We start from the raw sequence: 17,068 nt of genomic DNA, 5'->3' as shown, positions 1-17,068 counted from the left end.
AACTGACTCCAGAACATTTACTAACATAATATTACATACTTCTTTTTTCCAAGTTTTCTCCTATCTGCACAACTACACCCTATCCTCCAAACAGATGCTAGCATCTTCCTGGTTGGCCCTCACCTACAGGGAAGGCCTTCCATTTCCTTCCCTACATGACCTCAAGGTCAGCACTGGCAGCATCTTCAGAACAAACAAGTGGTCATGGCCTGGCTTGTTGGTTTAAGGAATTTCTGGTTACATCGGAAGTCTCAACAGAGCTTAAGGACTCCTCTCACATCCTGACTCCCATCCTCAGTGGTCCATCTGGGATGTCAAGCACAGTATGACCAACATCTTCTAGATTCTTACCCAAGGCTAAATGAAAGGAACTTGAAGTTCAGCTTCTTTCCTTTTTCAGGATGGCATATCCGTCAGACAGAAGGTAGACTGCAACAGAATGTTGCCCATATGATCATATAGTTCCATGAAAGCGCCCTTTAAAAAACAACATTCTGTGATAGAGACTGTTGCTAAGAGAAAATTAGAATCTGAAATGCCCTATTACCTGTCTGGCCACAAATCATTTTTTTTTCTTTTCTTTTTTTTTTTTGAGATGGAGTCTCACTCTGTCCCCACGCTGGAGTGCAGTGGCACAATCTCAGGTCACCGCAACTTCCGCCTCCTGGGTTCAAGCCATTTTCCTGCCTCAGCCTCCTGAGTAGCTGGGACTACAGGTGCCTGCCACCATACCCAGCTAACTTTTGTATTTTTATTAAGGACTGGGTTTCACCATATTGGCCAGGCTGGTCTTGAACTCCTGACCTTGTGATCTGCCCGCCTCGGCCTCCCAAAATGCTGGGATTATAGGCGTGAGCCACCGTGCCTGGCCCTTTTTAAAAAATTTATGTGTATTTTTGAGACAGGGTCCTGCTCTGTGAGCCAGACTGGAGTGCAGAGACCTGAACACAGCCACTGCAGTCTTGAACTCCTGGGCTTAAGCAACCCTCCCACATCAGCCTCCCAAAGTGCTAAAATTACAGACATGAGCCACCTTGTCCAGGATTTAGGCTTATTTTTTTTTTTTTTTGAGATAGGGTCTTGCTCTGTTGCCAAGGCTGGAGTGTAGTGGTGGGATTTTGGCACACTGCAGCCTCAACCTCCCAGGCTTAAGTGATCCTCCCTCCTCAGCCTCCCAAGTAGCTGGGACTACAGGCATGCGCCACCACACCCAGCTAATTTTTGTACTTTTTTTGTAGAGACAAGGTTTTGCCATGTTACCCAAGCTGACTGTTTTTTTTTTTTAATCCTAAAAAAATTTTTTATAGAGACCACATCTTGCCATGTTGCCCAGGCTGGTCTTGAACACCTGGGCTCAAGCGAGCCACCTGCCTCAGCCTCCCAAGGTGCTGGGATTACAGCATGAGCACTGGGATTACAGCATGAGCCACTGGCGCCCAGCCACTGTTTTGTTCTTTTAAAGATTTATGATCAAAGTCCTAGCTCTGCGGTGTGAGCTGAGGCCACTCACATGATCTCTCATGCCTTGATTTCCTCACCCGTAAAATGCAGCATCGACATCCCCTGTGGGGAGGATTACTAAGTTATTCCACATAAAGGCTCTAGAACAGTTCCCAGCACGTTTCATTCTCAAAGACCCTCAGCGTAAAGAGACGGAAACAGAGATAAAGTCACTGTGCCCACAGAGGGCGTGCGCCGCGGTGGCCCAACCTGAGCCCTCATACCTCTCTTCCCTCTTCCACCTTCAGGACATCACCCTGGCAGCTCAACTCCAACGTGGTGGGAGTATTAACGCCATGGAAATCAGCAAGTGTTACAAACCAGGAGGTTTTTTCCTCCCCAGAAAGCCCGTTGTTAAACATTTACCAACATACCACTGGATAGGCTGAATGCTTGATTTCCATTTGGCCCGGAAAAAAATGGCAACGTGAGCACATGAAGCACAATGACTATTTGTACAACCAAGGAACAAACAAGACTATGTCGATCCTGAGCATAGTCCACCGGGGAAAAAAGACCAGGAAAAAGAGTCTAACTTTAAAAAGGGGGTGGAGTGGGACAAACAAGTTAAGTAAAAATCCAAAATCAGAAGTGAAAAGAGGCACATGGCTCATGCTTGTAATCCCAACAATTCGGGAGGCCGAGGCTGAGGCTGAGGGTCACTTGAGCCCAGAGTTCAAGACAAGCCTGGGCAACACAGCAAGACCCCAGCTCTACAAAAAAAGTTTTAAAAACTAGCTGGGCATGGTGGTGTGGGACTATCATCTCAGCTACTCCGGGAGCCTGAGGCAGGGGGATCGCTTGAGCCCAGGAGGTTGAGGCTGCCCTGAGCTATGATCGTACCCCTTCACTCCAGCCTCGGTGATAGAGCAAGACCCTGTCTCAAAAAATAAATAAATGATTTTAATTTAATACATACATAAAGTTCGCAAAGGCTGCTTCTTCCCAAAAACAGTAGTAAGGTACCGCGGAAGAGCAGGACAGATAGGAAGAGAGGGCCTGGATCCACACCCTCCACCTGTGTGACTGCAGGCAGGTGTGGGGGACATTCTACTTGTCCCCAGTTTCCAGTTTCCCTTTCTTCAACAGAATAGAGGTCAGCTGGGTACATGGCCACCCTCCTTCAGCCTAACTTTTCCAACCCTCCTTACAGCCAGCTATCATCATGTGACTAAACTCTGGGTAAATGGGTTGCGAGTAGAAGTAACTAACACTGGAACCTCAACCTCTTACTGTTGTGAGCTTCCTTCGTTCTGATTTTACCGCCTGGTGGGAAACCAAAAACCATAAAGACCCTTCTAGATCCACGAGTGGAAGCCACAAGCTGAGGAAGGCCACCTGGCAGACCAGACTGTTAGAGGAGAAAGAAATGTGCTTGCACCTTGCTCAAGCCACTGTTCTTTGGGACCTCCTTGCTGCAGAAGCTCGGTTTGTACCTTACTACAATTTGAGCAAGGTTCTTTACTTCCCTGAGTCTATGGCTTGAATATATAACCACTCCAAAACTCATGTTAAAACTTAAGGCCGGGCGTAGTGGCTCACACCTGTAATCCCAGCACTTTGGGTGGTCGAGGCAGGTGGATCACCTGAGGTCAGGAGTTTGAGACCAGCCTGGCCAACATGGCAAAACCCCATCTCTACTAAAAATACAAAATTAGCTGGGTATGGTGGCGGGCACCTGTAATCCCAGCTACTTGGAGGCTGAGGCAGGAGAATCGCTTGAACCCAGCAGGCAGAGGTTGCAGTGAGCAGAGATTGCACCACTGCACTCCAGCCTGGGAGACAGAGCAAGACTCCATCTCAAAAAAAACAAAACAAAACAAAACAAAAAAAACCTTGTCCGGGCGCAGTGGTTCACGTCTGTAATCCCAGCACTTTGGGAGGCTGAGGCGGGCGGATCACCTGAGGTCAGGAGATCGAGACCATCCTGGCTAACACAGTGAAACCCCGTCTCTACTAAAAATACAAAAAATTAGCCTGGCGTGGTGGCGAGCGCCTGTAGTCCCAGCTACTCGGGAGGCTGAGGCAGGAGAATGGCATGAACTGGGGAGGTGGAGCTTGCAGTGAGCCTAGATCGAGTCACTGCACTCCAGCCTGGGAGACAGAGCAAGACTCCGTCTCAAAAAAAAAAAAAAAAAAAAAAAAAAAGCTGGGCGCGGTGGCTCATGCCTGTAATCCCAGCACTTTGGGAGGCCGAGGCAGGTGGATCACCTGAGGTCAGGAGTTCAAGACCAGCCTGGCCAACATGGTGAAACCCTGTCTCTACTAAAAATAAAAATATTAGCCAGGCATAGTGGCAGGTGCCTATAATCCCAGCTACTCAGGAGGCTGAGGCAGGAGAATCGCTTGAACCCGGGAGGGAGAGGTTGCAGTGAGCCGAGATAGCGCCATTGCACTCCAGCCTAGGGGATGAGAGCAAGACTTCGTCTCAAAAAAGGAAAAAAAAAAAAAAAAACTTAATCCCTGGCTGGGGGTGGTGGCTCATGCTGTAATCCCGGCATTTTGGGAAGCCAAGGCAGGTGGATCACCTGAGGTCAGGAGTTTGAGACCAGCCTGGCCAACATGGTGAAACTCTGTCTCTACTAAAAATACAAAAATTAGCCGGACGTGATGGCAGTGCGTGTCTGTAATCCCAGCTACTCGGGAGGCTGAGGCACAAGAATCGCTTGAACCTGGGAGGCAGAGGCTGCAGTGAGTCTAAATCGCACCATTGCACTCCAGCCTGGGTGACGGCGTGAGATTCTGTCTCCAAAACAAAACAAAACAAAACTTAATCCCAGTGTGGCAGTATTGAAAGGTAGGGCCTTTAAGAGGTAATTGGATCATGAGAGCTCTGCCCTCAAGAATGGATTAATCCATTTGTGAATTAATGAGTTATCATGGGAGTGGAACTGGTGGCTTTATAAAAAGAAGAGGTTAGGTACAGTAGCTCAGGCCTGTGATCCCAGAACTATGGAAGGCTAAAGGCAGGAGGCTCACTTGAGGCCAGGAGTTTGAGACCAGCCTGCTAGACATGGCAAGACCCTGTCTCTATGGAAAACAAAACAAAACAAGATTAGCTGAGCATGGTGCTGTGCGCCTATAGTCCCTGCTACTCAGGAGGCTGAGGTGGGAGGATCGCTTGAGCCCAGGAGGTTGAAGCTGCAGTGAGCCATGATTGTGCCCCTGCACTTCCAGCTTAGGCAACAGAGTGACACCCCATCTCTTAAAAAAACAAAACAAAAAAAAAAGGAAGAAAGACCTGAGCTAGTACACTACTCAGCTCCCTTGCCACGTGATGTCCCACGCCACCTTGGGCCACCACAGTGTCCCCAGCAGCAAGAAGGCCCCCACCAGATATGCCTCTCAACCTTGAACTTCTCAGCCTCCATAACCATATGAAATAAATTTCTTTTCTTTTCTTTTTTTGAGACGGAGTCTCGCTCTGTCGCCCAGACTGGAGTGCAGTGGCGCGATCTTGGCTCACTGCAACCTCCACCTCCCAAGTTCAAGCGATTCTCCTGCCTCAGCCTCCTGAGTAGCTGGGACTACAGGCACCCGCCACGACGCCCGGCTAATTTTTTGTATTTTTAGTAGAGACGGGGTTTCACTGTGTTAGCCAGGATGGTCTCGGTCTACTGACCTCGTGATCTGCCCACCTCAGCCTCCCAGACTGGTGGGATTACAGGCGTGAGCCACTAAAATTTCTTTTCTTTATAAATTACCCAGTCTCAGGTATTCTAAACAGCAGAAAACAGATTAAGACACTGAGCTTCATATAAAATAATATTTTCTTCAAAAGGCCACAGGAGTTATGTAATGCACCTGGCATATTATAAGTGCCCAACAAATCATACTTGAATTTACTAAATGAATGAAAGAAGGGATGTGATGTCACTAACACACGAGCTCAAAGGTGTTCATCCTTCTTTTTTTTTTTTTTTTTTTGAGATGGAGTCTCGCTCAGCCGCCCAGGCTGGAGTGCAGTGGTGTGATCTTGGCTCACCGCAACCACCATCTCCCGGGTTGAAGCGATTCTCCCGTCTCAGCCTCCCAAGTAGCTTGGATTACAGGCATCCACCATCATGCCTGGCTAATTTTTGTATTTTAGTAGAAACAGGATTTCACCATGTTGGCCAGGCTAGTCTTGAACTCCTGACCTCAGGTGATCCGCCCACCTCAGCCTCCCAAAGTGCTGCAATTACAGTCATGAGCCACTGCGCCTGGCCTCATCCTTTTCCTTTTTAAGTTAATTTTTTAGCACCCACCCTCTCATTTCCCAGTGGCAGAAAGATAACAGCCCCATATGGCTGCTTGTCTTAAGCACAGCAAGAAAGAAGGAAGCTGAGGAGGCTAATTCCTATGTATTCTCCATCATAAACAAGAAGGCCCAAGGAACCCACTGAAAGCAAAGAGACAGGGAACAAGACATACTTGGGGGCCAAGGCTTAATGCTACCTGGCGTTCCTTCCTGGCCACCGCCTACCAAAAGAGAAGCAATCTCTCTACTATGTAAGGTGCTATTCTCTGGTTTAGAATTCTGTATTTGGGAAAACACGGGCAACCCTAAAAACAAAAATTAAAAACTAAAAAATACAGTCAATTCTTTACCCAAACAGCAGAATAAGACTTCCAAAAGGACTCGAAATGAAAACACTTTCTTAATGAGACCAGGACCACAGGAAAAACCAGGACACTTGGGCAAACCAGGGCTGATGGGCACCCTACCAATATAAAAACACCAACATCTTAAAACAAGATCTTTGACACATGGAATGAATTGGAATTCTTCAATCACACCTTGAGTATTCATGGACCCCTTCATTTTCATATCATTTCTAAATCAGGCCGGGTGTGCTGGCTTATGCCTGTAATCCCAGAACTTTGGGAGGCCAAGGCAGACAGATCACATGAGGTCAGGAGTTTGAGACCACCCTGGCCAATATGGTAAAACCCCATTTCTACTAAAAACACAAAAATTAGCCAGGCGTGATGGCATATCCCTGTAATCACAGCTACTCGGGAGACTGAGGCAGGAGAATCGCTTGAGTCTGGGAGGCAGAGGTTGCAGTGAGCTGAGACTGTGCCATTGCACTCCAGCCTGGGTGACAGAGTGAGACCCTATCTCAAAAAAAAAAAAAAAAAAATTTGCTTGTAAATTTCACCCTTTTCCCACACCCTCACTGACAATCTCGGGTTTTTTATTGGGATTGCACTCAATTTCTCGATCAGTTGGAGAAGAACTGGTATAACAGTAAGTTTTCCAATCCAAAACCAGGGTACCTCTGCCCATTTATTCAAGTCTTTAATTGCTTTCAAAATTGTATAGTGCTCTCCATAAAGGTTTTACACATCTTTTATTTTATTCCCAGGTATTTTTTATTTATAATTCTACTTTTTAACTTCAGTGTGTTTGTTGGTGGTACACTGTAATTTATTTTTGTTTGAATTTTTTTTTTTTTTTGGAGACGGATTTTCACCCTTTTGCCTAGCCCAGGCCTGGGATTACAGGCGTGAGCCACCATGCCTGGCTTAGTTTTTGTATTTTTAGTAGAGACGGGGTTTCACCATGTTAGTCAGGCTGGTCTCGAACTCCTGACCTTGTGATCCGCCCGCCTTAGCCTCCCAAAGTGCTGGGATTACAGGCATGAGCCACCGTGCCCTGTTTGACTTTTTTATCCAGACAATTGCTAAAAGATTATTGACTTTAAAGCTGTTTGGGTAAAGAATTGACTGTATTATAGCTTTGGATCATTTTGGATTTTCTACATACATAATAGTATCACCAACGAATAATAGATTGTTTCTTCCTTTTAAATTCTTTTATCTTTTTATCCTTTTTCTGATTTATTGGGCTAAGACTTCCATCACTATTCTCAAGTGGTAAAAGCATGCACCCTGTCTTCTTTCCATTTTCACAGGTTAAGTTTTCAATATATATTATCATTTAGTTAATGGTTGCTAAAAAAATTGTTGCAGCTTTTCCTTACAAGAATAAAGGAAGGTCCACTACTTTCTCTTCACTAATTTGGAAATTGTACAGTTTCTATTCCTTTTTTTTCTTTTTTTTTTTTTTGAGACGGAGTCTCGCTCTGTCACCCGGGCTGGAGTGCAGTGGTGTGATCTCAGCACACTGCAAGCTCCGCCTCCCGGGTTCACGCCATTCTCCTGTCTCAGCCTCCTGAGTAGCTGGGACTACGGGAGCCCGCCACCGTGCCCGGCTAATTTTTTGTATTTTTAGTAGAGACGGGGTTTCACCGTGGTCTCAATCTCCTGATCTCGTGATCCACCCGCCTCGGCCTCCCAAAGTGCTGGGATTACAGGCGTGAGCCACCACGCCTGGCCAGTTTCTATTCCTACAATAATTCCTTAGAACTTGTAAACTGCACTTATTAAAATCTACAGTTAATCCCTATCCTAGTTTGCTGTAATTTGGATATGGTTTCTTTGGCCCCACCAAGCCTGATGTTAAACTGGGATGCCTCATGCTGAGGTGGGGCCCGTGTGGTGCTGAAGTGGGGCCCGTGTGGTGCTGAGGTGGGGCCCGTGTGATGCTGAGGTGGGGCCCGTGTGGTGCTGAGGTGGGGCCCGTGTGATGCTGAGGTGGGGCCCGTGTGGTGCTGAGGTGGGGCCCGTGTGATGCTGAGGTGAGGCCCGTGTGATGCTGAGGTGGGGCCCGTGTGGTGCTGAGGTGGGGCCCGTGTGGTGCTGAGGTGAGGCCCGTGTGATGCTGAGGTGGGGCCCGTGTGGTGCCCCATGCTGAGGTGGAGCCTGGTAGGAGGGGTTCTGGTTGTCGGGGAAGATCCCTCGTAAATGGTTTGGTGCCATTCTTGAGGGAGTAACTGAGTTCTCTTTTTTTTTTTTTTTTTGAGACAAAGTTTCATTCCTGTCACCCAGGCTGGAGTGCAATGGCGTGATCTTGGCTCACTGCAACATCCACCTCCCAGGTTCAAGTGATTCTCCTGCCTCGCCCAGCTAATTTTTTTTTTTTTTTTTTGAGATGGAGTCTCGCTGTCGCCCAGGCTGGAGTGCAGTGGCGTAATCTCGGCTCACTGCAAGCTCCGCCTCCTGGGTTCAGGCCATTCTCCTGCCTCAGCCTCCCGAATAGCTGGGACTATAGGTGCCCGCCACCACGCCCGGCTAATTTTTTGTATTTTTAGTAGTGAAGGGGTTTCACTGTGTTAGCCAGGATGGTCTCGATCTCCTGACCTCGTGATCCACCCGCCTCGGCCTCCCAAAGTGCTGGGATTACAGGCGTGAGCCACCGCACCCGGCCAGTTCTCACTCTTAGTTCCCAAGAGAACTGGTTGTTGAAAAAGCCTGGCACCCAGGCACAGTGGCTCACACCTGTAATCCCAGCACTTTGGGAGGCAAAAGTGGTTGGATCACGAGGTCAGGAGTTCGAGATCAGCCCGGCCAACGTAGTGAAACCCCGTCTCTACTAAAAATACAAAAATTAGCTGCGTGTGGTGGCGGGCACCTGTAATCCCAGCTACTCGGGAGGCTGAAGCAGGAGAATCACTTGAATCTGGGAGGTAGAGGTTGCAGTGAGCCGAGACTGCACCACTGCACTCCAGCCTGGGTGGCAGAGAGACTCCATCTCAAAAAAAAAAACATCAGGCGTGGTGGCTCACGCCTGTAACCCAGCACTTTGGGAGGCTGAGGCGGGTGGATCACGAGGTCAGGAGATCGAGACCGTCCTGGCTAACACGGTAAAACCCCATCTCTACTAAAAATACCAAAAAAAAAAAAGAAAAAGACTGGCACCTTCTCTTTCTCTCTCTTCCTCTCTATCACCACGGGGTCTCTACAAGCTAGCTTCCCTTTGGCTCCCCTTGAACTTTTGCCATGAGCGGAAGCAGCCTGAAACTCTTACCAGAACCAGAACTGTGTCAAACCTCTTTTCCTTATAAATTACCCACCCTCTGGTATTCCTTTATAGCAACACAAATGGACTAAGACACAGCTACTACAAAGACTGGAATGTTTTAACTTCATTTACTCTCCTTCATGACTTATTTGTTACTATTTTCATGTATTATGAAATTCTACCTTGATTTTACCCCATAGATATTATTATATTACTAAACAATTAGTGGGGTTTTTTGGAGGGGACAGGGTTTCGGTCTGCCACCCAGGCTGGAGTATGGTGGTGTGATCACGGCAATGTCAACTTCCAAGGCTCACGTGATCCTCCCATCTCAGCCTCCTAAGTATCTGGGACTACAGGAATGTGCCACCATGCCCAGCTAATTTTTTTATTATTTGTAGAGACAAGGTCTCCCTATGTGGCCCAGGCTGGTCTCAAACTCCTGGGCTCAAGTGACCCTCCCAAAGTGCTGGAATTACAGGCAGGAGCCACTGCACCCCTCCAATGCTAATTTGAATTTGCTCACATATTTGCTTTGCATTCTTTTTTGAATCTCAGTTCTTCCATTTAGGATCACTGTTTTCTGCCTAAAGTCCATTCTATCTTTTATTTTACTTTGATACGGGGTCTCACTCTGTCACCCAGGCTAGAGTGCAGTGGTGTGATCTTAACTTACTACAGCCTCCACCTCCAGGCTCAAGTGATACTCCCACCTCAGCCTCCCAAGTAGCTGGAACTACAGGCATGCACCACCGCTCCCGGCTAATTTTTTTATTTTTTTGTAGAGACGGGGTTTCACCACATCACCCAGGCTGGTCTCAAGCTTCTGGACTCAAGCAATCCACCCTTCTTAGCCTCTCAAAGTGCTGGGATTACAGGCATGAATCACTGTGCCTGGCCCCTATTCTTGAGAATTGTATTTAGTAAAGGACTGTGTCTTAGCCTGTTTCTGCTGCTATAACAAAATATCTTAGACTGGGTAATTTATAAACAACAGAAAATTATTTCTCACAGCTCTGGGAGATGGGAAATCCAAAACCAAGGCAGCAGCAGATTCAGTGTGTGATGAGGACCTAATTTTCACAGATGGTGCCTCCACTGTGTCCTCACATGGCAAAAGGGACTAACAGACTCCCTCAAGCCCTTCTACAAGGCACTAATCCCATTCATGAGAGTGGAGCCCTCACGGCCTCATCATATTCTAGGCCTCACCTTTTTTTTTTTTTTTTTAATTGGGACAGGGTTTAATTCTGTTGCTCAGGCAGGAGTGCAGCAGTGCAATCATGGCTCACTGCAGTCTCAATCTCCTGGGCTCGAGTGATCCTCCTGCCTCAGCCACCCAAGTAGGTGGGTCTACAGGCATGCCCCACCAGGCCCAGCTAATTTTTTTTTTTTTTGTAGAGATGGGGTTTCACCATGTTGCTCAGGCTGGTAAGCCCCACCTCTTAAAACTATTGCATTGGGGATTAAGTTTCAATATGAATTCTGGAGGGACATAAACATTCAACTACAGTAGATAATTTTTTTTTTTCAGAGTTTTGCTCTTGTTGCCCAGGCTGGAGTGCAATGGCGCCATCTCAGCTCACCACAACCTCCACCTCCCAGGTTCAAGCAGTTCTCCTGCCTCAGCCTCCCAAGTAGCTGGGATTACAGGCATGCACCACCACGTCTGGCTAATTTTGTATTTTTAGTAGAGATGGGGTTTCTCCACGCTGGTCAGGCTGGTCTCGAACTCCCCACCTCAGGTGATCCACCTGCCTCAGCCTCCCAAAGTGCTGGGATTACAGGGTGACCCACCGCACCCAGCCTACAGCAGATAATTTTTTTGAAAGATAATTTTTCCTGATATAAAGTTAGAAGTCAGGAATTGTTTTACTTTCAGCACAATGAAAATATTACTCCACTGGCTTCTGGTTTCCATTGTGGCACTTAAGAAGTCAGCCATCATTCTTACTGCTGCTCAGATAAAGTTGATCTGTGTTTTTCGTTTATTTTAAGAACACTCTTTGGTGCTTTGTAGTTTTACTCTCCTTTGGCTAGCTATAAATTTTATTTTTATTTATCCTGCTTACCATTCATTTGTCTTCTCAAATCTGTAGACTTCTTTTATTTTGAGACGGAGTCTTGCTCTGTCACCCAGGCTGGAGCGCTCAAGCTCAGCTCACTGCAACCTCCGCCTTCTGGGGTCAAGCAATTCTCCTACCTCAGCCTCGTGAGTAGCTGGGATTACAGGTGCGTGCCACCACGCTGAGCTACTTTTTGTGTTTTTAGTAGAGACAGGGTTTCACCATGCTGGCCAGGCTGGTCTGGAACTCTTGACCTTGTGATCCTCCCGCCTCAGCCTCCCAAAGTACTGGGATTACAGGCGTCAGCCACCGCGCCTGGCCTAAATCTGTAGACTTCTTTCACCAATTCTGAGAAATTTTAGTCTTTATCTTTTCTAATAATAAATCTGCCTCATTCTCTCTTTTCTCTTTACAGAACATTAAGTAAACATCCATTAGACATTTGCCCTCGATGTCCCATGTTCTGGCCTATGTTTCCCATCATTTTCTCTGTGCTTCATTCTGGGTAATTCCTTCTGACCTGTTTTCTGGTTCACTGATTTTCACTTCACTGTATATATTTTGTTATTAAACCTGTACACACTGAATTATTATTATTATTATTGAGAGAGGGTCTTGTTCTGTCACCCAGGCTGCAGTGCACTTGCACAATGATGGCTTGACCTCCTGGGCTCGAGTGATCTTCCCACCTCAGCCTCCCAAGTAGCTGGGACTACAGGTGTGCACCACCACGCCTGGCTAATTTTAAAAATTCTTTGTAGAGACAGGTTTTCACCATGTTGCCCAGGCTGGTCTTGAACTTCTGGGCTCAAGTGATCTCCCTACCTCTACCTCCCAAAGTACTGGGATTACAAGCATGAGCCACCTCACCTGGCCTGAATTTGTGATACTGAATATTTTATTCTTTATTTCTAGAAGTTCTACATGGTCCTTTTTCAAATATTCTATATCACCTTTTACTGTTTCTTACAAATATTTTTATGTTGTTAAATATTTATTTCTTTTTATTTTTTATTTTTTTGAGACGGAGTCTCGCTCTGTTGCCCAGGCTGGAGGGCAGTGGTGTGATCTTGGCTCACTGCAAGCTCCGCCTCCTGGGTTCACGCCATTCTCCTGTCTCAGCCTCCCGAGTAGCTGGGACTACAGGCGCCTGCCACCGCGCCCGGCTAATTTTTTGTATTTTTAGTAGACACGGGGTTTCACCATGGTCTCCATCTCCTGACCTTGTGATCTGCCCGCCTCGGCCTCCCAAACTGCTGGGATTACAGGCGTGAGCCACTGCACCCAGCCAAATATTTATTTCTTTAAAAATAAGAAGCACACTCAGCCAGCATGCTAGATCACGCCTGTAATTCCAGTACTTTAGGAGGCCGAGGTGGGCAGATTGCTTAAAGCCAGGAATTCAAGACCAGCCTGGGCAACACGGCAAAAACCTGTTTTTACAAAAAATACAAAGAATTAGCCAGGTGTGGTGGTGTGTGCCTGTAGTCCCAGCCACTCAGAAGGCTGAGACAGAAGGATCACTTGAGCCCAGGAGGCGGAAGTTGCAGTGAGCCAAGATCACGCCACTGTACTCCAACTCCAGCCTAGGCGACAGAGTAAGACCTTCTCACACACATACAAAAAGTACACTTTTTTTATAGTCTGTTTCTAACAATTCCAATACCTGAAGTCTTTGAGGAAGTGTTTCTACTGGTTTTCCTGTTTTCATTTTCTGGGGGTTTTTTTGAGACAAGGTTTCACTTTGTCACCCAGGCTGGAGTGCAGCGGTGCAATCATAGCTCACAGCAGCCTCAAACTCATGGACTCAAGCCATCCTCCTGCCTCAGCCTCCCAATATGCTGGGGTTACAGGCATGAGCCACCACACCTGAACTGTACTGGTTTTAACTCAGAGTGGCTTATTTGCTTGTGTGCTTAGTCATTTTTGTCTGTGTACTATTAATCACTGTCTTTAAAAAATATCTGCAGGCGGATCACCTGAGGTCAGGAGTTCAAGACCAGCCTGGCCAACACAGTGAAACCCCGTCCTTACTAAAAATACAAAAATTAGCCGGACACACGCCTATAGTCCCAGCTACTTGCAAGGCTGAGGTAGGAGAATCGCTTCAACCTGGGAGGCAGAGGTTGCAGTGAACCGAGATTGTGCTACTGCACTTCAGCCTGGGATACAAAGCAAGACTCCATCTCAAAAAAAAAAAAAAAAAAAAAAAAAATCTGCAGGGATTCTTTGTATCTTAGGATGAAGGTAACTTCTTCCAGAGAGGTTTTATCTTTGTTCCTGTCAGATGACAAGCTAGAAACACCTTGAATTAAATTCATGCCCGATTTCCCTGAACTACCAGGCAATGTAACTGGGCTAAAAATCCTCACAAAGGCCAATACAGAGCTACAATTCTCAGGAACAGGTTTTTTTCCCTTTTCATCTTTTTGTGCTACATTTAGTAAAAAGACAACCAGATGAGGGCAAGGAACGGTGTGAGGCACATGTGCCTCTAGTCTGCCCTCACACCTTGAGGATAGAGCCCTTCAGAGTTCCATCGGTGTGGGGAGGGTCTCCTTTAGGCTATTTACCTTGAGAGGAATCGAGCTTAACTACTGTTCTTTTCACAAATCCTCTAAACTCAAAGCCCCACTTTGTCCACATGAGCAAATGCCCTCAGGACAAAAGCAGACCCCATTCTATGGTGTTTAAATTACCTTTCTGCGTTATTTTCAGTTAGATTTTGATCCAAAAGTTTCCTGCTTTTTTGTCAGTTCTTTTATTTATGTTTTTTCATCTAACAATTGTGGCTGTTTTTCTGGGGTGGAGGGTGGGGGAGTAGAAGGTAGTCTAACCTAGCCTAACATTCTCAGAAACATAAAACCTTGCCATTTTTCTTGCAAAATTTATTTGATAACACGATTCTATAATAAAACATACATGCTCTCGTCGCTTTGAGGAATTATTCTACTCTCTACTGGCTTCCATTCATGCTGCTGAGACATCTGTTGTCAACCTAGCTAATGTTCCATTTTAGGTAATCTATCTTTTAACTTTACCTTAACACCTTCTTTTTGTCTTTGGTGCTATACGATTTCAGTGTATGGGTGTGGGTTTGTTTTTTTCTTTTTCTCTTTTTTTTTTTTTTTTTTTTGAGACAGAGTCTCGCTCTCGCCCAGGCTGGAGCGCAGTAGCGTGATCTTGGCTCACTGCAACATCCATCTCCCACGTTCAAGCAATTCTCCTGCCTCAGCCTCCTGAGTAGCTGGGAATACAGGCGCGCACCACCACGCCCGGCTAATTTTTGTATTTTTAGTAGACACGGGGTTTCACCGTATTAGCAAAGATGGTCTCAATCTCCTGACCTTATGATCCGCCCACCTTGGCCTCCCAAAGTGCTGGGATTACAGGCGTGAACTACTGCACCTGGCTGGGTTTGTTTTTTTCTAAAAATATTGATTGGGACATATTGTGATTCCTAAACCTATGGATTTAGGTCTTTTATTAGTTTCTGAAAGTTCAAAGCTATTAATACTTCGAATAATACATCTCTTCAATATTCCTGATTTTTTCATTCTAGAATTCCAGCTACATATTTACTACCATCACTGATCTCTCAGGGCTGCACTTTGGATAATGTCTTTCACTGTGTTTCACTTTACCAATTCCATCTGCATCTGTGTTTAATCTGTTTAATCCATATGTTGAATTTTGGTGGGTTTCTTTTTTTTGAGACAGGGTCTGGCTCTGTCACCCAGGCTGGAGGGCAGCGGCACGATCTTGTCTCGCTGCAACCTCCACCTTTCAGACTCAAGCCATCCATCCGCCCAGCTGGGTCATCTTAATTTTTAACGCATCAGAGTGCTCACAGAAATTATATTTGGCCAAGCGTGGTAACTCACACCTATAATCTCGGCACTTTGGGAGGCCAAGGCAGGAGGATCACTTCGGCCCAGGAGTTCAAGACCAGTCTGGACAACACAGTGAGACCCCATCTCTAAAAAAATTGTTTTTAAATTAGCCATGGTGGGCTGGGTGCGGTGGCTCACGCCTATAATAATCCCAGTAATTTGGGAGGCTGAGGTGGGTGGATTGCTTGAGGTCAGGAATTCAAGACCAGCCTGACCAACGTGGTGAAACCCCGTCACTACTAAAAACACAAAAATCAGCCAGGCATGGTGGCTGGTGCCTGTAATCCCAGCTATTCGGGAGGCTGACGCAGGAAATTCGCTTGAACCCAGGAGGCGGAGGTTGCAGTGAGTCAAGGTCATGCCATTGCACTCCAGCATGGGCAACAGAGCAAGACTCTGTCTCACAAAAAAAAACACATAAAAATATATAAATAAATAAATTAGCCGTAGTGGTGCATTCCTATAGTCCCAGCTACTGAGGAGACTTAAGTGAGAGGTTCCTTTCAGCCTAGGTGTACATGGTTGTGGTGAGCTATGATCACACCACTGCACTCCAGCCTGGGTGACAAAGTGAGACCTTGTCTTGAAAAAAAATAAAGAATAAAGAAATTAGGCTGGGCGCGGTGGCTCACGCCTGTAATCCCAGCACTTTGGGAGGCCGAGGCGGGCGGATCACGAGGTCAGGAGATCGAGACCATCCTGGCTAACATGGTGAAATGCCGTCTCTACTACAAATACAAAAAAAATTAGCCGGGCGTGCTGGCGGGTGCCTGTAGTCCCAGCTACTCGGGAGGCTGAGGCAGGAGAATGGCATGAACCCAGGAGGTGGAGCTTGCAGTGAGCCGAGATCGCGCCACTGCACTCCAGCCTGGGCGACTGAGCAAGACTCTGTCTCAAAAAAAAAAAAAAAAAAAGAAAGAAATTATATTTATTCTAATTTATCCAGCATCTCACTGAACTGCAATGGAAGAGCCTCGTAAGAGTATCTTATATTGCTGGAAGCAGAGGTCCTTCCCTCCCCTTTTCATTTTCTGCGTAACTGTGTGGTTTGAATGGCAACTGTGACAGTGTATATGCTGTATCTCACATGTTCCCTGCAAGTGAGACGGAACATATACCTCATTAAATATGTGCAAAACTGTTCCTGTTTTGTCAGAATTAAACTTTGGACAGGGCGCGGTGGCTCACGCCTGCTATCCCAGCACTTTGGGAGGCCGAGGCGGGCGGATCACAAGGTCAGGAGTTCGAGACCACCCTGGTCAATATGGTGAAACCCCGTCTCTACTACAAATACAAAAATTAGCCAGGTGTGGTGGTGCGTGCCTGTAGTCCCAGCTACTTGGGAGGCTGAGGAAGAAGAATCGCTTGATCCCGGGAGGTGGAGGTTGCAGTGAGCCGAGATCACACCACTGCACTCCAGCCTGGGCAACAGAGCAAGACTCCGTCTCAAAAAAAAAAGAAGAATTAAACTTGGGCTTGGAAAGACCAAGCAACTTGCTCAAAAACATGCAGAGCATCTCAAAACCAGACACAGGAGGATCAAAAACCACCAAAAGACAACAGACCATGAGCACATCTGTTTTTTTGTTTTGTTTTGTTTTGTTTTGAAACAGAGTCTTGCTCTGTCGCCCAGACTGGAGTACAGTGACACGATCTCGGCTCACTGCAACCTCCATCTCCTGGATTCAAGCGATTCTCCTGCCTCAGCCTCCTGAGTAGCTGGGATTACAGGTACACACCACTATGCCCAGCTAATTTTT

At 46.6% G+C, this 17,068-nt stretch overlaps 1 protein-coding gene across 57 annotated transcripts in view; it reads right to left on the bottom strand.

Moving 5' to 3' along the window:
* The window catches only part of PPP6R2 (protein phosphatase 6 regulatory subunit 2), a 114,317-nt gene that overhangs the window by 55,628 nt on the left and 41,621 nt on the right, over positions 1 to 17,068 (bottom strand). For 18 of the 57 annotated variants that reach the window (XM_047441638.1, XM_011530723.3, XM_011530720.3 and 15 more), the window contains exon 1: positions 1,725 to 1,817. The exons of 20 other annotated variants lie outside the window; for them this stretch is intronic. The gene's annotated coding sequence lies outside the window, so the exon portion shown is untranslated. Of the gene's footprint in view, positions 1 to 351; positions 478 to 1,724; positions 1,818 to 17,068 lie in introns of those variants that run through there. 19 more of the 57 variants (XM_047441645.1, XM_047441659.1, XM_011530737.3 and 16 more) reach the window with 2 other exon arrangements.

This window comes from Homo sapiens, chromosome 22, assembly GCF_000001405.40.
Source record: "Homo sapiens chromosome 22, GRCh38.p14 Primary Assembly".
NCBI lineage: Eukaryota > Metazoa > Chordata > Mammalia > Primates > Hominidae > Homo > Homo sapiens.
Note: the sequence above shows the minus strand (reverse complement) of the source record. Positions and strands in the feature narration are given on the sequence as shown.